The 25,131-nt window shown below is 40.6% G+C and overlaps 1 protein-coding gene and 1 pseudogene across 5 annotated transcripts in view, besides 3 other annotated features; one reads left to right on the forward strand and one right to left on the reverse strand.

The window, feature by feature from the left end:
- ZNF609 (zinc finger protein 609) overlaps positions 1-25,131 on the forward strand; it is a 226,491-nt gene that overhangs the window by 49,951 nt on the left and 151,409 nt on the right. The gene's annotated exons all lie outside the window — the stretch shown is intronic.
- Positions 2,157-2,344: a silencer, noted in NCBI's record as "fragment chr15:64803884-64804071 (GRCh37/hg19 assembly coordinates)". NCBI's record gives its function as "represses an EF-1alpha promoter that drives an FKBP-Casp9 reporter gene in an ReSE screen in K562 erythroleukemia cells {active_cell/tissue: K562}" and the evidence as "EXISTENCE:reporter gene assay evidence [ECO:0000049][PMID:32094911]".
- Positions 4,924-5,003: an enhancer, noted in NCBI's record as "active region_9570". NCBI's record gives its function as "activates an Ori minimal core promoter by ATAC-STARR-seq in GM12878 lymphoblastoid cells {active_cell/tissue: GM12878}" and the evidence as "EXISTENCE:reporter gene assay evidence [ECO:0000049][PMID:35858748]".
- Positions 18,940-20,212, reverse strand: GAPDHP61 (glyceraldehyde 3 phosphate dehydrogenase pseudogene 61; annotated as a pseudogene).
- Positions 19,159-20,025: an enhancer, noted in NCBI's record as "H3K27ac-H3K4me1 hESC enhancer chr15:64820886-64821752 (GRCh37/hg19 assembly coordinates)". NCBI's record gives its function as "activates a minimal SCP1, AML or CMV promoter by ChIP-STARR-seq in naive H9 embryonic stem cells {active_cell/tissue: H9 hESC(naive)}" and the evidence as "EXISTENCE:reporter gene assay evidence [ECO:0000049][PMID:30033119]".

Consider the following 25,131-nt stretch of genomic DNA (forward strand, 5'->3'; position numbering starts at 1 on the left):
AAACAATGAATTTATGATAGCTAATATTCCAGCTCCTACTGATTTCCAAGAAGGCTTCAGGGAGAGATTGATTCAGAGCATTTGGAGGCATTGAAGTTTGGGGTTTTGTTGTTTGATTGGTCAGTTTGGAAGTGTGTGTTGGACTTCTTTTGGCAGAGGGCTGATCTCAGGTTGAGAACCATGGCTTTTGTTTATTCTCCATTAAGGTCAGTTTCTTTGGTATATAACCAACTTCTTCTGAATTATTTTCCTAAGAATTGAAATGAAGATAACATGATTGTTTTCATACAGGAAGTTTCTTTCCTCTCTCTGCTAATCCTTGTAAGGTACAGACTAGTCTTTTGAAGGGATTAGCAGAGGTAGCCAGAACAGTCAAGAGAAGAATGAGGATTGAAGTACTGTAGTCCCCCCAACCTTATCCTTGTTTTTGCTCTCTGTGATTTCAGTTACCCTCAGACAACCAAGATGTGAAAATATTAAATGGAAAATTCCAGAGATAAATAAATCACTAAGTTTTAAACACTACATTATTCACCCCATTTCATCTCATCCCATAGGCATTTTATCATCTCACATCATCACAAAGAGGGTGAGTACAGTACAATATTTTGATAGAAAGAAAAAGACACCATATTCACATAACTTTCATCACAACACATTGTTATAATTTTTTTTTCTTTTTTTTTTTTTTTAACAGACAGGGTCTCCCTCTGTTGCCTAGGCTGCAGTGCAGTAGTATGATCACAGCTCAGTGCAGCCTCAAACTCCTGGCCTCAAGTGGTCTTCCTGCCTCAGCCTCCCGAGTAGCAGGGACTGCAGGCATATATCACCACATCGGGCTAATTTTTAATTTTTTTTATACAGTTGGGATCTTACTGGTTGTCCAGGCTGGTCTGAAACTCCTGGGCTCAAGTGATTCCCCCTGCCTCAGCCTCCCAAAGTGCTGGGATTACAGGTGTGAGTCACCATGCTCACAACCTGTGTCTTACTGCTCACACCTGCTCTTACTGTGTCTAATTTATAAATTAAACTTTATCATAGGTACGTACGTAGAGGAAAAAACCTAGTATATGTAGGGTTCGATAATATCTGCCATTTCAGACATCTACTGGGGGTTTTTGAATGTATGTCTTGTGCTTAAAAGGAGGCTACTACTTTTTTGTGAGGAAATAAAAAAGACAGTTTTTAGATGTTTTGAGGTGGTCAGGTTTTACCCTAAAATGTTTGTTGTCCATTGGGATGTGACAATTTGACTGTGCACCTGTGAAATACTCTAATTGCTTTTTAAATTTAAGACTGCTGGGTTACAGCCCTAGTGGCAAATACTAGATTATGTTTTGATGAGCCAGACCTGGGCATTAAATCCTTTCTTGGGCTCTGTTTTCATTTGGTAATGAGTTCTTTTTTATTTTTATATTTATCTTTTATTGTTTTATTTTACAAGTTTCCACATAGCATTGATTTTTTTTTTTTTTTTGGTTCCTTCATTTTAAAAAGTTTTTATAAACTGGTACCTAACTCACCCAGCTCAGAGTTGATATTTCCTGGCTTATGTGTTGCTTTTTTTTTCTTTTTTGTTTCTTCAGAAGTCAGGTACTTAGTTCTGCACTGAATCAAACCTTAGTGAAAGACAACAGAGTGTTGTAGAAAGGAGGTATAGGGGCCAGGCTCGGTGGCTCACACCTGTAATCCCAGCACTTTGGAAGGCCGAGGCAGGTGGATCATCTGAGGTCAGGAGTTTGAAACCAGCCTGGCCAACATGGTGAAACTCTATCACTACTAAAAATACAAAAATTTAGCCAGGCATGGTGGCGTGGTGGAGTGTGCCTGTAATCCCAGCTACTTGGGAGGTTGAGGCAGGAGAATTGCTTGAACCTGGAAGGAGGAGGTTGCAGTGAGCTGAGAACACGCCACTGCACTCCAGCCTGGGCAACAAGAGTGAAACTTTGTCTCAAAAAAAAAAAAAAAAAAGGAGGTATATATAGTCGTCATACTTAGACCAACCAAATCAGCATACTGAATGTATCCTATAACATCTGAATGTTACAGAAATTAACATTCAGGTTGCAGAGTTTCTTGGTCGTGAGACAGCTTAGGGTACGTATCAGAGTCACTTCTGGAGGTTTTACAAAGTATAAGTGTCCTACTGGATAAAATCTTTGTGGCTGGAGACTCCAAGCATGTAATTTTTTTTTTTTTTTTTTGAGACTGAGTCTCGCTCTGTCGCCCAGGCTGGAGTGCAGTGGCGCGATCTAGGCTCACTGCAACCTCTGCCTCCTGGGTTCAAGTGATTCTCCTGCCTCAGCCTCTCGAGTAGCTGGGATTACAGGCACACTCCACCACGCCCAGCTAATTTTTGTATTTTTAGTAGAGGCGGGATTTCACCATGTTGGCCAGGATGGTCTTGATCTCCTGACCTCGTGATCCAACCACCTCAGCCTCCCAAAGTGCTGGGATTACAGGCATGAGCCACCGCACCCTGCCTACTTTTTTTTTTTTAAGTTCAACAGGTGCTTGTAATGTTCTTCTTGGTTAAAAATCACTATCATGTGAAAAGGACTCTCCTTTTTCATTGCTCAGTGTACAGGATGCTTATGTTGGGGTCAGGCATTTCGGAATTCAACTATAATGAACCTGATTTCTCATTATCACCTTAATTAGGAGAATTAATTATTGAATTTCTGACAGCCTTTAAGGTAGAGCATCCATATTTGTGTTACTAATTCAGTTTTAAATTATTGTTCCAGAATTTTTAAGGCAAATTTAAGCAAAATTCTTATGAGTAGATATATTTGCCACATATAGGCTATTTGAGCTTTTTTTTCTATGTAGATTAGAAAGGGGCAGAAGACAGATTTGGATAATCAAAATTTATGGCTAATCCAAAACCAGTCTCTTTTCTCATTGGTTTGTGAATGTATTTCTGTGCTTATATTGGATAATAGGTGTTCCTAATTTTCTGGAAATTCATGACATTTGAAAATAAAATAATGTAGCAATACAAAAAAGACCTTATTCCTGAGTCTGCTTCTGGATGCATTCAAAGTAAACATGCTGTTTTAGGAAGAGGAAATATCGCATCACAGAAATAGAACAAGCACCTTATATCATAGTTCTTTGTTGTTGATTTTTTTTAAAATAAATACAATTTATTTGAAATCAAAAAGAGCATTAATGTTTTGGGGTATAAAGTATTTCCTTGCTGAGATTTTTAAGTCTTATGCCTGAAGAAGAGTAATTAGAATGCTAATTGTTATCAAAGATGAACACATACCTAATTGTGCAGCAAACTCATACTTTTTTAAAAAAAACTTTTAGGTTTAGGGATATGTGTTGCAGGTTTGTTAGATGGGTAAATTGTGTGTCACATGGGTTTGGCGTGCAGATTATTTCCTCATCCAGGTAATAAGCAAGCAAACTCATACTAGAAAACATTGTGGTATGTCAAATTTTAGCCAAAATAATAATTACGTAACCTTAAATTCTCATAATAAAATTTTAATAATAAATTAATATAAAAATTTAAAATTTTAAGTGTGGTTTTTAGTACTGGTACATGCATTACCTATCTATCTTCTCAGAAGTTATATTAATCTGTACTTTAGATGGATCTTTTTTTAGGTTTTGGAGTATCTCAAATTCATATACCACTGTGAGTAGGAGGAGAAAAAATTGGCAAATGTGGGGAAAAACTCATCATACAAAGTGACTACACATTTATATACACCATATTAGACTAGATCTTAATTTCATCACTATGCAGATTCCTAAACATCTGGTAGAGTGTCTGTTTTAGATAAAATATGCCATAAGGCATTTTTCATTTTGCTTGTACATATGTGCTTGGATTGAGAATGTAGGGATTTGAAATCAAACAAGCTGATTGCTTATTACAATTTCAGAAGGAGACTGAGAAATTCTTTCATTTTTGTTTGCTTCTAGTATCTCTCCTGTCCTTTCCCATCTCTTAAAAGGATTAGGTTCTAAAGTCAAAGTGTGAGGCACTCAGTCAGAAGTTACCTACAGAATTTCTTAGGATGATTTCTTGAAGCTTGACATACTGGCTCCATGAATTCAACACAATCAGTTTTTTCTTTAGCATTGAGACAAGCCATTATTTCTTCAGCTGAGGTCCCCACATAAGAGCTGACTTGTGTGAGAGCTAGACTATATTAATGAAAAATATGTATTTGTAAATACTAGAATCACCCTAAGCCTAGTAAAATGCTTATATTATGAGAGGCACATGGGAGTGGAAACCAGATTAAGGAACAGCCAGCTGGCTGGGCAAGGTGGCTTACACCTGTAATCCCAGCACTTCAGGAGGCCAAGGTGGGAGGACTGCTTGAGCTTAGAAGTTCAAGACCAGCCTGAGCAACATAGGGAGGGCCTGTCTGTACAAAAAACTAAAAAATTAGCTGGGTGTGTTGATACATGCCTGTGGTCCCAGCTACTTGAGAGGCTGAGGCGGAAGGATCACTTGAGCCCGGGAGGTCGAGGCTGCAGTGAACCATGATCATGCCACTGCACTCCAGCCTGGGCAGCAGAGCAAGACCCTCAAAAAAAAAAAAAAAAACCACCAGTTCAAATCTCCTATCTCTGGCTTCCTCCAGAGCATATGCTCAATAAGCAGAACAGCTGTGAGGCCCAAACCATTCAAATTGGTTTTTGTTCCTTTCTTTCTTTTTTTGCCAGTTACATACAGTTGATTTTATAATGTTAAATATTATCCATTTAGTATACAAAGGTATTTTATGACAATAGAGCAAATCTTAGGATCCAGATTCTCTATGTAGTGGAAACTTTGGGTCCATGGAATGAATATAGCTTAATGTAATGATTATTGTAATATTTACATTTCAGTTCCAACCTTCATGTTCTTCACAGTGTCCACAAATTCCTTCCCTTTATTTCTGTATAGTAACCTCAGATCTTATCGTTGAATTGAACAAGAACTATCATGTAGCAGAGCTGTTCTCCTCTTACCAACATAAATATTTCTGAGCCTAGTTTCGCTTTCTTAGGCCCAGTGCCTTTGGTAGGTCCTTTGAGGTATACCTTTCACCTTCTAGCCTCTTCTCACTTTCACCTTTAGATTCTATCTAAACTATGCTTTTTTTTTTTTTTGAGACGGAGTCTCACTCTGTCATCCCAGGCTAGAGTGCAGTGGCGCGATCTGGATTCACTGCAACCTCTGCCTCCCCGATTCAAGCAATTCTCCTGCCTTAGCCACCCCAGTAGCTGGAATTACAAGTGTGCACCACCACACCTGGCTAGTTGTTGTATTTTTTGTAGAGATGGGTTTCACCCACACTTGAGGCTGGCCCCAAACTCCTAGTCTCAAGTGATCCTTCCGCCTTAGCCTCCCAAAGTGCTGGGATTAGAGGTGTGAGCCACTGCGCCCACCCTTTTTTTTAAAATTTTTTAATCCTGCTTTAATTTTTTGTTGTTGTTGTTATTTCTGAAATAACATTTTACATTTGTTGTTGGTCTTGTCTTAAGCAAATGGGATTATATTTAGTTATGCAGATTTAGGAAGGGCTCTTCCTTCCTTCTCAAATAAAAATAACCAGGAAAAAGCAGTCGTTTTCATATGTTCTACCTGGGACATTCATTATAGTCTGGGTACAGCATTGTATGTATCTTGAAAACTACTGTACTACCTTTGACAGTGAGGTGTTTTACCCATAGTTCAAAATTGCTGTTACTGCCTAGAGATGACACTGCTGTGAATAGTATACCTTATTCGAAGGCTTGGTGCTTTTAGGCATGGACTGGTGGCATCTCTTGGACAAGGCATTGCAATTGCCCTGGAGGACTGGCCAAACAAGTTTTCATGTTGAAAAGCTGAGTAAAAATGACTCTGGGTGTAGGCCAATATAGTATCACTCGGGAAAAAGAAAAGCACAATATGCCTCTCCCTGGGAAGCAGTTTGGCCAGGGCAAAGCTCCCAGAAATGGAAATTTAAGCTTGTTGATTTGGGAAACTCTTGGTATTTGCCCCTCAGCCTTTGTGAAATGGATCTTCTTTTTAAAGGGGGGAGGGGTAGGATAGAGGAGACTTAAAGGCTTAAAATAATGTCCCCTCTGAACCATCTAATCACCTCCTTAGAACTAAGCAGGTAAGGCTGGGCGCAGTGGCTCACATCTGTAATCCCAGCACTTTGGGAGGCCGAGGCAGGCGAATAACCTGAGGTCAGGAGTTCGAGACCAGCCTAGATAACATGGTGAAACCCCATTTCTACTAAAAATACAAAAAATTAGCCGGTCGTGGTGGCACACGCCTGTAATCCCAGCTACTCGGGAGGCCGAGGCAGGATAATTGCTCGAACCTGGGAGGCGGGGGTTGCAGTGAGCTGAGATCGCGCCATTGCACTCCAGCTTGGGCAGCAAAGGCGAAACTCCGTCTCAAAAAAAAAAAAAAAAAGAACTAAGCAGGTAAATGTCCTCATGTCACAGAAGAAAAGATCGACTTGTTTAGAAACCAAGTTAGGTAGGGCTGTCTGTAGTTGGTAGTAAATTATCAACCTGAAGTGGCATTCAGGCCAGAGAAAAGTCAGGGAAGATAGTTGGAAAATAAAACCCCAATGACTTTTTCATATTTGACTAAAATTTTCAGATCTCTTATTGTTCTTATTCCTTAGTCATATTTCACCCTCCTTCCTGTTTTATATCTAATAACCTGAAGCAGAAAAGGGCCAGGCCAATCCTACTTTAATCTCTTCCATTCCCCTGCCCCCCTGGAGTATATTTTTTAATTTTTAAAATTTATTTGTATTTGTTTTTCGTTTATTCAGTCTTGCTGAGTTAAGCAGAAACCTCATAGAGGTGGGGTTTTTTTGTTTGTTTTTGCTTTGTTTTGAGACAGAGTCTTGCTCTGTTGCCCAGGCTGGAGTGCAATGGCACGATCTCGTCTCACTGCAAGCTCTCCGCCTCCTGAGTTCAAGAGATTCTCCTGCCACAGCCTCCCAAGTAGTTGGGATGACAGGCATGCGCCACCACCCACACCCGGCTAATTTTTGTATTTTTGGTAGAGATGGGGTTTCACCATGTCGCCCAGGCTGGTCTCAAACTCTTAAGCTCAAATGATCCTCCTGCCTCAATCCTCCAAAGTGTTGGATTACAGGTGTGAGCCACCATGCCCACCCAAATAATACTTTTAAAGAAAACTTAGATTTTATTGTGGTGCCACTATATACTGGGCATTTATTAAGAATATATATATATTTTTAATCTTGTATTGATCTTATCTTAGGGATGGTTCCTTATAATTGCATTTATCCTTCTTATGTGTTTCTGTATCTTTCAGAACCATTTCCAGAATTAATCAGGCTACCGAACAATAAGTCCAGTCTTAGCTTATCAACTCTCAGGATGATTCTGATTTTAAAAATTTTCACCAGGTTCCAGCAGTCCCTTATACTATATCAATTTCTTCTCTCCTTAACCCCTACTCCGGAAACTTTTTACTTGATAATGTTTGTCTGGCTCTTCCTTATTTAATTGCGAGTTTTAAGCTTCTTGCTTTAAAAATATAGCATTAGCTGATTTTAAAATTACCTCTGGGCTGGGTACGCTGGCTCACTCCTATAAACCCAGCACTTTGGGAGGCCAAAGCACGTGGATCACCTGAGGTCAGGAGTTCAAGACCAGCCTGGTCAACATGGTGAAACTCCATGTCTACTAAAAAATACAAAAATTAGCTGGGTGTAGTGGTGCATGCCTGTAGTCCAAGCTTCTCAGGAAGCTGAGGCAGGAGAATCACTTGAACCCGGGAAGTGGAGGCTGCAGTGAGCCGAGATCATGCCACTGCATTCCAGCCTAGGTGACAGAGGGGGATTCTGTCTCAAACAAAACAAAACAAAATTCCCTGTGATTCAACAGATCCTATATGGGATGCTTTATAACAAAATTAATGTTTTTCTGGACTTACAGGTTGGAGGGCTATCCTAGTCAAGCAGTTCAAATTTATGGATACTCATTCAGTTCATCCAACAAATAATTATTAAATAACTACCATGTGCTATACAGTGTGCTGGCACTTAGGATAAAGAGTTGAAGCCAGGCATGGTGGCTCACACCTGTAGTCCCAGCTACTTGGAAGGCTGAGGTGGGAAGTTCCTGTGAGCCCAGGAGTTCAAGTCCAGCTGGGACAACATAGCAAGATCCCATCTAAAAAAATAAAAGTTAAATGGATGTGGTCTCTGCTCTGTGGAGTGTGTGTATATATATGATATATAAATAAAAATTATACATATATATTATTATTATTATTTTTAGACACTCTGTCACCCAGGCTGGAGTACAGTGGCACAATCTTGGCCCACTATAACCTCTGCCTCCTGGGCTCAAGTGATCCTCCCAACTCAGCCTCCCAAGTATCTAGGACTACAGGTGCGTGCCACCACACCTGACCAATTTTGGATTTTTTGTCGAGACAGGGTTTCACCATGTTGCCCAGGCTCACCACGTTGAACCCCTGGGCTCAAGTGATCCACCCGCCATGGCCTCCCAAAGTGCTGGGATTACAAGCGTGAGCCATCGTGCTGGGTTCCTGGAGTTTATATTCTAATGTGGGAGACAGATAAATTGGTTATTATAACAAACTTTGATGAGTAATGATAACATAGGGTATTGTGGGTGCACAGTGGTGGCCAGAGTATAGTGTAGGATCAAGGAAGATCTCTGCTCAAAAGAGGTGATGGAGATCTCTAACCTCTCTGATAGTTAAACAGAGACCCAAAGGGATAAGCAGGAATTAGACAGGTGATGGGAGAGAGGGCAAAAGGCTTGTGCCAGGTGAGAGAATAGCATAATCAAAGGCTAAGTGGTAAGACTAATCTTGAGGCATGAGAAGAACTGGAAGAAGTTCACTATGACTGGAGGAGGAGGAATAGAATGGTAAGATGAGGCTGGAGTGCTATGGGGTCAGATAGTAGAAGGCCTTAAAAGCCTTGTTAAAGGATTTGGATTTCATCCTAACATCTGCAGAAAACTATTGTTAGACTTTTTAGTGGATTACAGTGATTGATTTTTGAGTTTTTGAAGAATTACTCTTGATGTCATCTGCAGAGTGGATTGGAGAACAAGATTGGAGGCATTTAGGAAGCTGTTAGCATAGTTAGCAAGACAGCTGGACCAGAATAGTATTAATAGGAAAGGAGCAAAGTGGGTAGATTTGAGAGAATAGAAGTTCAATTGATAGCATCTTGGTAATTGATACCATGTTGGGAAGAGATTGAAGAAGAAGTCGAGAGTCATGTCCAGATTTTGGGCATGAACCAAGCTGTTCATGGAACCACTTACTCATAGGAGGGAACACTGAAAAGGGGCAAGTTTGCAGGGAATGATAATGAGTTTAACTTGGGACATGTTTTGAGGTGCTTGCACTGCCTGTGCTGGGGATAATGTAAGCAAAATAGATTTGGTCCTGCTCTTTCTAGGGCATACGGTTTAGTAGGGGAGATAGAATGGAATCAAACAATCATATGCACATCTATCATTTTACACTATTAAAATTATAAAAGTGAAAGTTATAGGATGCTGAGAGCCTATAATTAGGAACTGAACCATTCTTGGCGGGTGCAGGGCGGGGGGCGGGGGGCGGGGGCGGGTCAGGGAAAATATCCGTGAAGAAGTTTGAGTAAATATCTGAAGGATAAATGGTAGTTAATTTGGAAGAGGGAGTTGAATGAATGAACAACCAAGTAGAAATGTCTCTTGAGGACTGGATGTGTGAGAGAGAGAACTGGAAATCTAAAGATTTAAGAGTTTATTAATGTGAACACATAAATGGTAATTGATGCCATAGAAGTGAGTGCACTTACCCAGGAAGAATGTGTCTGTATTGAATGAAAGGGGCTCAGTATGGGTCACTGAGGAACACCAAGAAGGTAGCTACCTTAGTTGGCATATTGGGAACTGCTTCCTTGTGTCCTAGAGAGAATACAAAACCCACAGCTGGGAACATATGTCTATACAAACATTTTAAAATCCACTGAAAGAGGTTATAGAACTTGCTTGGTTCTGTAGTTAGAATTGGTTTTATTGGATTGAGGCACACTTTGAGGAAAAGTTCGTTTCTCATGCCACTTATGAACAATGGAAGAGTGATCTTTGCTTTTTATTTTAACCATTTGCCATATTTTCCCTGCCTGGCATCATCACTCTCAACTTTTTTAGTTTTCCTTTTTTCTTTTTTGACCTAATTTTCAGTTATTTAAACTCTCAACTTCTAATAGTATTAAAGTGAAAGCATAGATATTGTAATCAGGCCTATGTTTGAATCCCAGCACTGACTGCCATTTAATATATATAGGATCTTCTGCAAATTACCTCTCCGTATCTCATTTTCCTTAGATTTTATATGGTTTTAATTTAAAAGATCTAAAAGTACACTGTAAATGCACAGTATATGGAGGTTATAGTATAATAGTTACAGGTCAGCAACAAATGTTTGTTCTATTTTCCTTTCTCCTTGCAGCCTCTCTTGTCTTTCCAGGCAGGTGAGTAGTTTCATCTGTGATCATTTATGCTCTGTACCACCTCCTCATGGCAGTATGTTACAGCAGCTTTTCTACCAGAGCATAAGGAGTCTTGCATTTTTGTGGTAAAAGTCCTTTCTGGAGAAGCAGTACAGGAAGGTTTCTGGGTTGCTATAACCAGGATTTTTCAACAACAACACTATTGGTATTTGGGGCTAGGGTAATTCTTTGTTGTTGGGGTGGTCCAGTTTATTGTAGGATGTTTCACAGCATCCATACCTTTATCATATTCGCTCCAAGGTAAGACAACCAAAAATGTCCCCAGACACTGCCAAATATCCCCTGGAGGGCAAAGTTTTTATTTGAGCACTATTTGCTAAAATATTGTTGTGGATGCTATTTACATAACTGTGTGTTCAGTTTATGAAAATGCAGAGTTGTACATATATGATATATGTAGTTTTCTGTTGTGAATGTTGTTTCCGTAGAAAGTAGAAAACCAAAGGCAGTTAGAGAGCCAGGCTCCCTAACCTGTGTCTCAGTTTTTATTATCCCCAAATCTCTATTTTTCTTTTTGTTTTTTTATTCTCGTTTTCTTAAATTTTTGGCTAATATTTTTTTTCCCACACGTTCTGGTATTCTCCCCAAATCTCTAAAAGGTGAGGTGAAATTAAGGGAGAAAAGGGTTCACAATAGAATGGGAAGACAACAAAAAGTAACCGAGAAACTGACTTCCAAATGTCTCTTCAATTCCTAGCTGTTAGGATATGGAATTCAACCTAGGGAAATTTCTATTACAAGATTTCAGAAATAAGCTCTGAGTACGGGACAGAATTAAATTATCAGCCGAAGAGATTATTTTATTATCTTTCTTCCCACCTTCTCTGCTACACTGACAGCAAAGGAGAGGCTCACCTGATTTTCGTCACTTCAGCTGTTACCTTTACCTGATGGCCACTGAAGTTATTTCTGAAAGTGTTCGCTTTTACTTTTAATTTAAAATCTTTCCGTTCTTCTTTACTTTGTACAGGTGGGTAGAAAGTCCTTCCATATTAGATAATGTTGACTACCCCCTGAGAATGTAGTCCCCAGAGAAATCCTTGGATAGCACTCAAGCTGGAAGCAATAGGTTAAGTAACCCACGTCCATGTCTTAAGAGGAGTCCAAGATAAGATCCCATTTTGAAGTTTGAAAGATCCTGTAAAGGGAAGGCAGACCTTGGGCCAAGCAGCCTTTGAGGTGGTAACCAGCTCATAAACAAGAGCTGGCATGTGCCAACAAAGTCTCTCATCCTGGCTCCAGAGTTGGCTGAGGAGAGAAATTTGTGGAAGCCTCTGTAAGTGGAGGATTGTTCTTGGCTTTGGCTTTTGTGTGGCTGGATATGGAGTAGGGAGGGAGCTTGGACCTGGTCTCTGGGGTGTAGGCATTTCCCTGAGAGGAGGATTTTTTTTCCTTTCCTTGTTTTATTTTTTCCTCCCTGTCCTTCCCTTAGTGTTAACATTTCAAGGTACAGGAAATGATTGGATACTGATTGTTTTATAACTCTCTTAGGACAGCCTATTAATATTCTGCTGCCAAGACGACAGTCAGGAGGAATTTAGGTAGAATCAAGGCTCATAACCTTTATGAAAATACCCTAAGCAGGGAACCTTCAATTTATTTTGAAGTGTTTGAGTTTTACTAAAAGCCCATCATTGCCAGTGTGGTTTTTTAAAATGGACAGCCATAGTGGCTAAGGAGACCAGTAAGACCTGGAGTTGGCAGCAGAGTGAGCCTTCTGAGGAAAAAAGGAAGAGGAATATTGGTGTGGGAAAGAGGTGCAGCTGTGCCACTGGATCCCTGTCCCTTCATTATTCTTTACTGGCCCTGGCAGCTGTCAAAGTTTGCTTAATAGAGTTGTGGGCTGGAGATTGTTTCTTAATCCCTGTATAGGAGTACCAAGCTCCAGCTGTGTTATCTAGGCTCTGGGGCCCTAGCACTTGGCCAACTAATGCTGAGGCATCTGGTGACTCGAGACAAAAGCCTATTATGTCAGAGAGAAGATTGGGCAAAGCACAAGCATTGTTATCTCTAATGCCCCCGGGGCAAACTCTGTACTTGGCAAGTGAGAATGCCTTGACCTTGTGAGTTTACAGCAACCTGTCCACTCGGTTTTCTGTTTCTTTGAGATTATTTTCTACTAACGAGGTTTCAGCATTCTGGCATTGAAATCTATAAGTGCTTTATTGTAAAGAATTTGGAAAATTCAGAAAAGTAAAAGGAAGAACATAAAAATTGTACTTCATTCTACCAGATTCTTAAGAGAAGAATTTCTTTAATGTTGTGGAACTGGCTGAGATTATTGGTTCAGGACTGGCTTGGGCATGATCTATACCTCATGAATCTCAACTCTGTCCCTTTAAGCATCTTTAATTTTCCCATTAGAGATCTGAACTGGTTTGGCCCTGCTTGGCTAGATTTTATTACAATTGATGTGATCTCACCCTGGAGTATGAAACTCATCTTCTTTGTTTAGCTTTTTATAACTTATCTCAAACCAATTTTTTATCTTCATTTGTGATTGTCTTCAGAAGTCTGGGTGTTTGTTTTTTTTAAACTGATGGTGGTGAGTATGTAGGGAGAGAGTAGTTTTGCAATTTTTAAAGACTTAATGTTGACCTGCTTTCTTCTCTTTGGAAAGAGGTGTCTGTGATGTCAGTTAACATAATTTGCTTTCGTTGATGAGCTTGCTCAAGACATAAGCTTATGAGATTTCTAGTTGTATAAAAAGAAAAGGGCTGTCTTTCATGTTTTCTTTTCCTTGCTGGAGTAGCATTTTAGTTAAGGAAGTTGCACAAAAAGAAACCCATCTTTTTTCTGTGTAATTTTCTATATGGATTTCTATGTTGACCAGTCTAGACCTTTTGTCTATTCGATGTTTACATAGATGTTTAGATTTAACTTTTAATACATTGTGGTTAAAAAAAAAAAAAAAGGAAATTTTGGTGCAATAGAGAAAAGTATTTTGGATTTATTTATTGTTCCTTTTAAATGTTAAAATGAGGCAGGAATACAGTACTTGCAGCCTATTGTCTAAGAGTACTCTTTGACATTTATAATATCAGGTATAAGCATTTCCAAAAGAGATCTTCCTTAACATACCATACCCTTAATGATCTTTTGACAGGACAGAAATGGGGAGAGATGTTAGCAGGGTATATTTTAATTTATATTCTCCAAAAGTATACATCCTATACTATGATGAATTATTATAGATTTTATTTTCATGTAATATGGACTCCCTTGCATAACTGGAGAGAAACAGCTTCCAATTAAAGTAATTATGCTAGCAGCTCTGAGACTACTCTTTGGAACTGTTGTCAGCACTTTGGTTTGAAGAAATCAGACCAGGATTGACTGCCTAATAGTAGGCTTTTACCAAGAGCCTGACATAAGAATTTCAGGAAATCTAGGAAAATCTTTGAAAATCTGCTATATTATAGGCCGGGCACAGTGGCTCAAATCTGTAATCCCAGCACTTCGGGAGGCTGAGGCGGGAGGATCAGGAGTTCGACACCAGCCTGGCCAACATCGTGAAACCCTGTCTCTAAAAATACAAAAATTAGCCAGATGTGGTGATGCACACTTGTAATCCCAGCTACTTGGGAAGCTGAGGTGGGAGGATCGCTTGAACCTGGGAGGCAGAGATTGAAGTGAGCAGAGATCACGCCACTGCACTCCAGCCTGGGCAACAGAGCAAGACTCCATCTCAAAAAAAAAAAAGAAAAGAAAATCTTCTATGTTATAAACTTAAATTTCATGTGAATGGAAGATTGAGAAATGATGGCTGATGGCCTAAGCTCTGGGTAGAATTTCAACTTTTTGCATGTTTATCAAATGGCTTTAATGTTCCTGCCTTTTCCTGGTTATTATTTAAAAAAAAGTAATGTTTCCAGAAACCATTTAACAACTGATAACTGGAAAATTTTTTGGAAGAGGTTAGCTAGACAGGTTATACGGGTTTTTTTTTTTTCCTCATACAGTTTTTTTAAAAATTGAGAAATAATTCATGTTTTCTTTTTTTTTTTCAGTATACAATTCAGTGGTTTATACTATATTCACAAACTGTGTACCCATCACATCACTAATTCCAGAATATTTTCATCTCCTCAAAAAGAAACCCTGTACCCATCAGCAGTCACCCTAATTCTTCATTTTACTTAGCCCCGGGCAGTCTACTTCTGTCTCTCTAGAAATTTCATGTAAATGGAATCATACAATCTGTGGCCTTTGGCCGGGCGCAGTGGCTCACGCCTGTAATCCCAGCACTTTGGGAGGCCAAGGCAGGCAGATCACAAGGTCAGGAGTTCGATACCAGCCTGACCAACATGGTGAAACCCTGTCTCTACTAAAAATACAAAAATTAGCTGGGCGTGGTGGCACATGCCTGTAGTCCCAGCTACTTGGGAGGCTGAGGCAGGAGAATTGCTTGAACCCGGGAGGTGGAGGTTGCAATGAGGCAAGATTGCGTCATTGCACTCCAGTCTGGGAGACAGAGCAAGACTCCATCTCAAAAAAAAAAAAAAAGGGGGGGGCCTTTTGTGTCTGACTCCTTTCACTTAGCATAATCTATTGTAGCATGTATCAGTACTCCATTCCTTTTTATGGTTGAATAATATTCCATTATATAAATATACCACATTTGTTTATCCATTTCATCAGGTGAGGGATATTTGGGTTTTTTCCTTATTTTGACTGTTAATGGATAATGCTGCTATGAACATTCATATACAAGTTTTTGTATGGACATATGTCTTCAGTTTTTTTTATTATATACCTAGGGATAGAATTGCTGGATTATGTGGTAACTCTTTGTTTAACTTTGTTTGGAGCTGGCAAACTGTTTGCCAGAATGTAAATGGCTGTGCCATTTTACATTCCCGCTAGCAGTGTACAAGGATTCCAATTTCCCCACACTTTCAACAATACTTGTTATTGTTCATTTGTTTAATAATAGCCATCCTGGTGGGTGTAAAGTGGTATCTTGTGGTTTTGACTTGGATTTCTTTAATGACTAATGATTCAGAACATCTTTTCATGTGCTTATGTGCTTGTATATCTTCTTTGAAGATATCTGATTCTTTGTCAATATTTTAATTAGGTTCTTTGTAAGAATATATTCTGGATACTAGTGTTTTCTAAGATTTTTATGGTTATAGCTCTTACATTTAGGTATTTGATCCATTTTGAGTTAATTTTTCTATATGGTGTGAAGTAGGGATCCAGCTTTAGTCTTTTACATGTACATATGCGGTTTTCCTAGCACCAATCGTTGAAAAGACTATTCTTACCCCACATTGAATTTTCTTGACACCCTTGTTGAAAATTAATTGACCATAAATGTATGGGTTTTTATCTAGACTCTCAGTTTTGTTCCGTTGATCAACATATCTATCCTTATGGCAGTATTACAATCTTGATTACTCATCTTTGTAGTAAGTGTTGAGAATTGTGAGTCTTTCAACTTTATTCTTCTTTTTGAGATCGTTTTGGCTATTCTGAGTCCTTTGCATTTCCATACAAATTTTAGGATCAGCTTGTCAATTTCTGCAAGAAGCAGGCTAGGATTTTGATGGAGATTGTATTGAATCTGTCAGTCAGTTTGGAGAGTTCTGCAATCTTAACAATAAAAAATCTTCCAATCCATGAACATGAGATGTCTTTCCATTTATTTATAACTTCTTTAATTTCCATCAATGATGTTTTGTGGTTTTAGTGTACAAATCTTGCCCTTTTTCTTTTTTTTTTTTGAGACAGAGTCTCACTCTGTCCACCAGGCAGGGGTACAGTGGCACAGTCTTGGCTTGGATCACTGCAACCTCCACCCACCAGTTTCAAGCGATTCTCCTGTTTCAGCCTCCCAAATAACTGGGACTACAGGTGCACGCCACTAAGCCCAGCTAATTTTTTGTATTTTTAGTAGAGCTCGGGTTTCACCATGTTGGCCAGGCTGGTTTCCAACTCCTGGCCTCGAGTGATCTGCCTGCCTAGGCCTCCCAAAGTGCCGGGATTACAAGCATGAGCTACCACGCTCAGCCCTGTTTTTTCTTTTCTTTTTTTTTTTTTTTTTAAGCCAGTCAAATTTAGGGGTTGTACACCAAAATCTTGCACTTCTTTTGTTAAATTTATTCCTGAGGATTTTATTCTTTTAGATGTTATTTTAAATGGAATTGTTTTCTTGATTTCATATTTGGATTATTCATTGCTAGAGTACAGAAATACTATTGTTTTATATGTACTGATCTTGTATCTCACCACCTTGTGGAATTCGTTTGTTGGCTCTGATATGATTTTTGTGCATTCCTTAGGATTTTCTATATATGAGATCATGTTATCTGCAAATTGAGATCCTTTTACTTCTTACTTACAACCTCGATGTCTTTTTTCTTTATTTCTTGTCTAATTTTTCTAGCTATAACCTCCAGTACAATGTTGAATAGAAGTGGCAAGAACAGACATCCTTAACTTCTTCACTGATTTTAGGGAGTAACTTTCAGTCTTAATTATTAAATATGATGTTAATTAACTGTGGACTTTTTTATAGATGACTTCTATGAATATGGGATTTTTTTTTTTCTTAGAGATGGGGTCTTGCCCTGTCACCCAGGCTGGAGTGCAGTGGCACAATCACAGCTTACTGCAATGGCATAATCACAGCCCACTGCATCCTTGACCTCCCAGGCTCAAGCAATCCTCCTGCCTCAGCCTTGCAAGTAGCTGGGACTACAGACACATGCCACCACATGTGGCTATTTTTGTTGTTGTTTTTTGTAGACACAGGGTTTCACTATGTTGCCCAGGCTGCCCAGTCTAGTCTCAAACTCTTGGGCTCAAATGATCATCCCACCTCGGCAATCCCAAAGTGCTGGGATTACAGGCATAAAGCACCGTACCCAGCCCAATATGAGATTTTGAAGGGAACATTTATACTGTAGTTAGAGATTTTAAATTATGTTGATATTTTTCAGAACAAGATAATTCTTGAGGAACAGGTGAGGAAGGAGGCTGGAGAAACCTCTGGAATGTAAAGCACACAAGATTGAGAGCACCTAGCTTCTAGTGTCCATTCCCCTACTTAAGCTGAATAACATTGGAAATTCTGTTTAATTCTTTGGGCTTCCTTCATTCATGCTTTCTGTTCATCACATATTTATTGATCATCTAGTTTGCCAGGTATTTTGAGGATGCAGGGTTAAAAGACTAACGGCTATCTGAGTCGTTGTCGTCAGATATCAGCTACACTCCATTTCCAACGTCTTTTTTTTTTTTTTCTTCTGTAAAGATGGAGGTGATGGGCATATTTGATTTGTGGGGACATGTTACGGCCCTGCTTATTTTCAGAGTTCAGTATATTCTCAGTGTTAAGACCAGCCTTACACATAAGATGGCATGAGTGCTACCTATGTGTCAGTCTCTTACACAATTATTATTTCAAAGTACTGTAGTTATAGCAGTGACTCCCAAATATCCATTCCCTGCCCTGACATCTTTACTAAATTTGACCATGATTTCCAGTTGCCTAACAGATTTCCTTGCTTAGTTGTCCCAAATGTACTTCAAATTCACAAAGTTCAAAGAAAAATCATAATTTGTCCCTAAAGTCCACCTCTCTCCATTCCTTTCTCCAGTACTTTCTCAGTGTTAGTACTGGGAATACTTCTGCCCAGTCACCCAAACTAGAAACTTGTGAGTCATCTTTGATGCCTTTCCCTCACTGCTCACATCTGGTACATCACAAAGGTTCTTTAAGAGACTATCTCCTGCTTATCTCTTGTAACTTCCCCTCTTTATACTTGTTGCCACTTCCTTTGTTCAGACCCTCATCATTTTTAACCTGGACCAAACTCTACTCTTACCCCCTTTCTTTCCCACTTGTCATTCAGGATCCAACTTAAATATCACTTTCTCTTTACAGCATATTCTTGTTAGCCAGTTGCTCAGACTTCCGAATGAAGTTAAACACCTATTAATTTTATAGAAATATTGAATATTATATAGGGGTTAATAGCACAAATTATAGAATTATGCAGGCTTGAGTTTGAATCCTGGCTCCTTTTTTTTTTTGAGTTGGAGTCTCGCTCTGTTGCCCAGGCTGGAGTGCAGTGACGCGATCTCGGCTCACTGCAACCTCCACCTCCTGGGTTCAAGCGATTCTGCTGCCTCAGCCTCCTGAGTAGGTGGGACTACAGGTGCGTGCCACCACGCCCAGCTAATTTTTGAATTTTTTAGTAGAGATGGGGTTTCACCATATTAGCCAGGCTGGTCTCGAACTCCTGACCTCTTGATCCAGAATCCTGGCTCTTTTTTATTGGTGGGGGTTTTAAAAAAATTTATTATTATTATTATTATTATTATTTTTAATTTTTTGTGGGTTTTTTTATTGTTTAATTTCTTGTTTGTTTGTTTTTTGTTTTTTTGGCTGAGCACAAGGCACTTTATTGATGGTACATGACAAGGTGGGGCACCCTAGGCCCCTCCCTCTCCAAGGGGTCTGCATGGAAACTGTGAGGAGGGGAGATTCAGCTTGGTGGGGGACTGATTATGGCAGGGACTCCCCAGCAGTAAGAGCTTCTGTCTTCCTCTCATGCTGTCGCTGGGCTGGTGGTCCAGGGGTCTTACTCCTTGGAGGCATTGTGGGCCATGAGGTGCACCACCCTGTTGCTGTAGCCAAATTCATTGTCATACCAGGAAATTAGCTTGACAGAGTGGTCCTTGAGGACAATGGCTGCCCCAGCATCGAAGGTAGAAGAGTGGGTGTTGCTGTTGAAGTCGAAGGAGACCATCTGGTGCTCATTGTAGCCCAGGATGCTCTTGAGGGGGCCCTCCGATGCCTACTTCACCACCTTCTTGATGTCATCATATTGGCAGGTTTTTCCAGACGACAGGTCAGGTCCGCCACTGACACATTGGCAGTGGGGACATGGAAGGCCATGCCAGTGAGCTTCCCGTTCAGCTCAGGGATGACCTTACCCACAGGCTTGGCAGCGCCAGTAGAGACAGGGATGATGTCCTGGAGAGCCCTGCAGCCATCACGTGACAGTTTCCCGGAGGGGCCATTTATAGTCTGGGTGGCAGTGATGGTGTGAACTGTGGTCATGAATCCTTCTATGATACCAAAGTTGTCATGGATGACCTTGGCTGGGGCGCTAAGCAGTTGGTGATGCAGGAGGCATTGCTGACGATCTTGAGGCTGTTGTCATACTTCTCATGGTTCACGCCCATCACAAACATGGGGGCATCAACAGAGAGGACAGAGATGTTGACCCTTTTGGCTCCCCCCTGCAAGTGAGCCCCAGCCTTCTCCATGGTGGTGAAGACACCAGTGAACTCTACGACGTACTCAGCGCCAGCATCACCCCATTTGATTTTGGAGGGATCTTGGTCCTGGAAAATGGGTGATGGGGTTTCCATTGATGACAAGCGTCCCGTTCTCAGCCTTGACGGTGCCATGGAATTTGCCATGTGTAGAATCATACAGGAACATGTAGACCATGTAGTTGAGGTCAATGAAGGGGTCATTGATGGCAACAATATCCACTTTACCAGAGTTAAAAGCAGTCATGGTGCACCAGGCACCCAGTACGACCAAATCTGTTGACTCTGACCTTCACCTTACCCATGGTGTCTCAGGGATGCAGCTGCCAATGCGAGAGAATATGTGGCTGTCTGTCGAACAGGAGGAGCAGAGACTTTTTTGAGACGGAGTTTCACTCTTGTTACCCAGGCTGGAGTGCAATGGTGCAACCTCGGCTCACCACAACCTCTGCCTCCTGGGTTTGAGTGATTCTCCTGCCTCAGCCTCCTGCGTAGCTGGGATTACAGGCATGCGTCACCACGCCTGGCTAATTTTGTATTTTTAGTAGAGACGGGGTTTTTCCATGTTGGTCAGGCTGGTCTTGAACTGCCGACCTCAGGTGATCCACCCACCTCGGCCTCCCAAAGTGCTGGGATTACAAGGCGTGAGCCACTGCACCTGGCCTTGGTTTTTTTTTAAACTCTGTCACCCTGTCTGGAGTGCAGTGGTGTGATCTCGGCTCACTGCAACCTCTGCCTCCCAGGGTCAAGTGATTCTCCCATCTCAGCCTCCCGACTAGCTGGGACTACAGGCCCATGCCACCACGCCTGGCTAATTTTTGTATTTTTTGGTAGAGATGGGGTTTCATCATGTTGGCCAGGCTGGTCTCAAACTCCTGACCTCAAGTGATCCGCTTGCCTCTCAAAGTGCTGGGATTACAGGCATGAGCCACCGTGCTGGGCCTGAATCCTAGCTCCTAATAGCTGTGTGACTTTGAGCATATTACCTAGCCTCTGGGCCTCAGTTTCCTTTTATCTGTAAAGTAACACTGATAACTACTTTATAGAGCAGAAGTGAAGATTAAATGCAATTACAAAGGTTATAATTATACTATCACGGCTACAATATATTGAACATACATTATTTGCTAATCACTGTGCTAAGTATAATACTTGATACTTATTGCCCATGGAAAGTAGTTAGCTCAATGCTTAATATTAGTAGGGATTCAATAAACAAAAGCTAGTATTTTCTGTGTGGTCTTCTTCCATTCTTAGCATCTTAAGGGCAAGAACGATGTCTTATCTTTGTGACTGACAGTATGGTAGATAACAATAAACAGTTGTTGAGTTTGAATTTATTTAATGGGATTTGAGTAACTGCCAAGAGGTCTTCAGTATAATATTCCCTGCTAACTTGACTGCAGTTCCTTTGGAATTGAAGGTTTTGAGTTTTCTATTAAAGTATACATACCCCTAGAGAGAAGTAATACTTTGAGCTATTATCAACAGCCATCTTAAGGAAATTAGTTGTTTATCAGCTGCTTTCAAATCTGAGAAAGACCTTGCAGGATGAGACTTGGGTAGGAAAGAAAGAAGATGGGAAAGAGACCTGAGCTCACAATATCATGTGTAACAAAATCACTTTTTCCTATTTGCCTCAGAATTACTCTTTTTCCTAATTTGTAATGTATATCATTCCACTTAACATACATGTACTGCATTTAATACCTATAGCTCTCCTGTGGGACCATGGAATTAGATCAGCAGAAATGAGTCATTTCCATTACTTGAATTACTTAGGTTATTTAGCACTTTGTGATATTATGGGCAAGATGGCAGATTCACTCCCTATGTAGTTAATAGCTTTATATTGAGTACTGAGAGGATATTCTAGACCTGGTCCCTAATTTTGGCCAGCTATTTTGGCCAAATTAATGTCAGTTATCAGCTGCCCTATGAACTGCCCAGAGGATTGCTGAATACAAGATGAGATGATAAACCTAAAAACACTGAAAAAGCTACACAAATGCAAAGTGGATTATTCCAGACATTATTATTATTATTATTTGGGACAGTCTCGCTCTGTCACCCAGGCTGCAGTGCAGTGGCGACAATCATGGCTCACTGCAACTTCCGCCTTCTGGGTTCAAGTGATCCTTCCACCTCAGCCTACCAAGTAGCTGGGACTACAAATGTGAGCCACCATGCCCAGCTAATTTTTTATATTTTTTGTGGAGACGGGGTCTCCCTATGTTGCCCAGGCGGGTCTTGAACTCCTGAGCTCAAGAACTTCCCACCTCAGCCTCCCAAAGTGCTGGGATTAGAAATTTGAGCCATTGTGCCCAGCCTTATTTCAGACTTTAACACATGACCTTGGAAAACGCAATGTTGTGGGCCTCAGTTTCCTCATCTCTAAAATGAAAGACTTGGGAAAAAAAATTACTTCCAACACCCTTGTCAACTCTAACATTCTTAGAAATTCCATTCTCTCTCTTTCTAACCTATGTCCCTTGCTTCCATATAGTCTGTTCTTAGCACAGCAGCCAAAATGATTCTTTGAAACTTGTCCATTCATTATCACTTCTTTGCTCAGAACCCTCCATTGGCTCTTAATTTCATTCAGAGAAAAAGTCAATGATCCACATGATCTGTGCTTCTCTCTGCCATACCTCTATGGCCTTATCTCCTATTTCTCCCTACTAGCATGCCCCTCCAGCCCTACTGGATTCTGCTGTTCCTTGAAATGCAGCTCCTCTTGCCTTAGGTCTCTTACATCGAAGGTTCTGGCTACTAGAATTCTTTTATCACAGAGAAGTACGTAGCATGGCCAACTCCCTCATCTCTCTCAAGTCTTCACTCAAATGTCAACCTATTTGAAATTTGCAACCACCTCTGTACCCTCCTTTTATCCTATCCCATTATTTTTTCTCGAAGCACTAATCTTTTTAATTTACTATGTGTATACTTTATTATGCTTATTGTTTATTATCTATCTGCTAGAATGTAAACTCTACCAAGGCAGAGATTTTGTTTTCTTTTGTTTTGCTTTGTGAATCTTTGTTTCTCAAGCACCTATAATAGTACCTGGCCCAATAAATATTTATTAAACATATGAATGAAATGTGCAGTATGGTAAATACTAATCTCATTTTTAGCTGATGTGAGCCTCAGTTGACTGATTTATGAAATGCTGGTTTTGTTCTCTGTCTTTTTTGTTAGAGGCATTCCTCAGATATCTGGTAGTACTTGGTTGTCTGCTCACGTTTTAAACATCTTTAAGATGGAGCGCTGAAAGTTATATTTGAAGCTGTGAGTGCATTTGCAGGACATCTTTATGGTGAGCTTCACAGCGAGATGACTGTTAAGTTGGGAAACCCCAGATGTCAAGATCGTTAGGTGTTTCCTTATAGGCTTACCAGATTTCTTAGAAAAATAACAAGCCCCTTCCAATCCTCCTGGAGAGTAAAGATTTCTTTGAGCTAGGTGAAAAAGAGGACTGGGGCTTCAGCCTTCAGCATTCAGTATGTTTAAATCCACATTTAATCTCCTTATTTTAGGTACGGTACTCATGTCCTCCACTATTCCTGGAGCACCCTGGTCCAGAGATCCTCTATTTGAGCTTTCTCTATTTGAGAAACTAGCCTCTCTAGTTTTTTTGGGTCGGGGGTGGTATGTGAGTGAGAAAAGGAATTAAATAAATAATTGCTGCTTTTTTTTTTTTGAGACAGAGTCTGCTCTGTCACCAAGGCTGGAGTGCAGTGGCGCAATCTTGGCTGACTGCAACCTCTACCTCCCACGTTTAAGCGATCTTCCTGCCTCAGCCTCCTGAGTAGCTGGGGCCACAAGTGTTTGCCACCACGCCTGGCTAATGTTTGTATTTTTAGTAGAGATGGGGTTCCATCATGTTGTCCAGGCTGGTCTCGAACTCATGGGCTCAAGCCATCTGCCCGTCTCAGCCCTCCCAAAGTACTGGGATTACAGGCATGAGCCACTGTGCCCAGCCATAATTGCTTCTTATATAGTTTTCAATCAGTGTTATTCATCCTAAATCATTGATTTCACATCATCTGGTACTGCCAGTTACTGAGCTTTTAGGGGAAGATTCTGTAGTGTTGATTGGTATAGTTCAAAGTTTTTTCTGTTGCATGCTTATTATTCAATATAGCGTTCTTAGGTTTGCTTAGTCAGTTATCATTCCTTCATTTGCTTTCCACGTTCCAAAATATTGTTGTCTCCTCTCTAGTTCATCCCCCTCCTTGTGGGTTTAAGTCTTTTAAAATTCTTTATTGTTTCAGTGTGGTTTTTGTCTACTCTATTTATTGCAACTATTTTCTTGTTTCCCATTTTTCTTGTTTGCTTTCAATTGACAGTTTTATTGAGATAACTAGAATCACATGTAGTTTCATAAAATAATACAGAGAGATCCCTTGTACATTTTACCCAATTTCCTCCAATAGCAGCATTTTCCAAAACTAGTGTAACAGCCAGGTAATGGGCATTGATACAGTCCATCAATCTTACTCAGATTTGCCTTGTTTTGCTTGTTCATGTCTGCGTATGTGTCGTTATTTCCATACAATTTTATATCACGTGTAGGTTTCTCTTTCCACACCACTGTCAAGATTTTGAACAGTTCCATCAACACAGCAATCACTGTTATTAACCTTTTTTTTTTTTTTTGAGATGGAGTTTCACTCTTGTTGCCCAGGCTGGAGTGCAATGGCACAACCTCAGCTCACCGCAACCTCTGCCTCCCGGGTTGAAGCGATTATCCTCCCTCAGCCTCCCGAGTAGCTGGGATTACAGGCATGCACTGCCACACCCGGCTAATTTTATATTTTTAGTAGAGACGGGGTTTCTCCATGTTGGTCAGGCTGGTCTTGAACTCCCGACCTCAGGTGATCCACCCACCTCGGCCTCCCAAAGTGGTGGTATTACAGGCGTGAGCCACCACACCCAGCATTATTTATTTTTTTTTTTTAAGATAGAGTCTCGCTCTGTCGCCCAGGCTGGAGTGCAGTGGTGTGATCTGGGCCCACTGCTGCAACCTCCGCCTCCCGGGTTCAAGCGATTCTCCTGCCTCAGCCTCCCAAGTAGCTGGGATTGTAGGCATGCGCCACCATGCCTGGCTACTTTTTGTATTTTTAGTAAAGATGGGGTTTCACCGTGTTGGCCAGGCTGGCCTCGAACTCCTGACCTTAGGTGATCTGCCCACCTTGGCCTCCCAAAGTGCTGGGATCATAGGCATGAGCCACCGCGCCTGGCCGTGTTAACTTTTTTATACCATACCCACTTTCCCTGCACATGTGAA

The sequence above is a fragment of the Homo sapiens genome, chromosome 15 (assembly GCF_000001405.40).
Source record: "Homo sapiens chromosome 15, GRCh38.p14 Primary Assembly".
Lineage (NCBI taxonomy): Eukaryota > Metazoa > Chordata > Mammalia > Primates > Hominidae > Homo > Homo sapiens.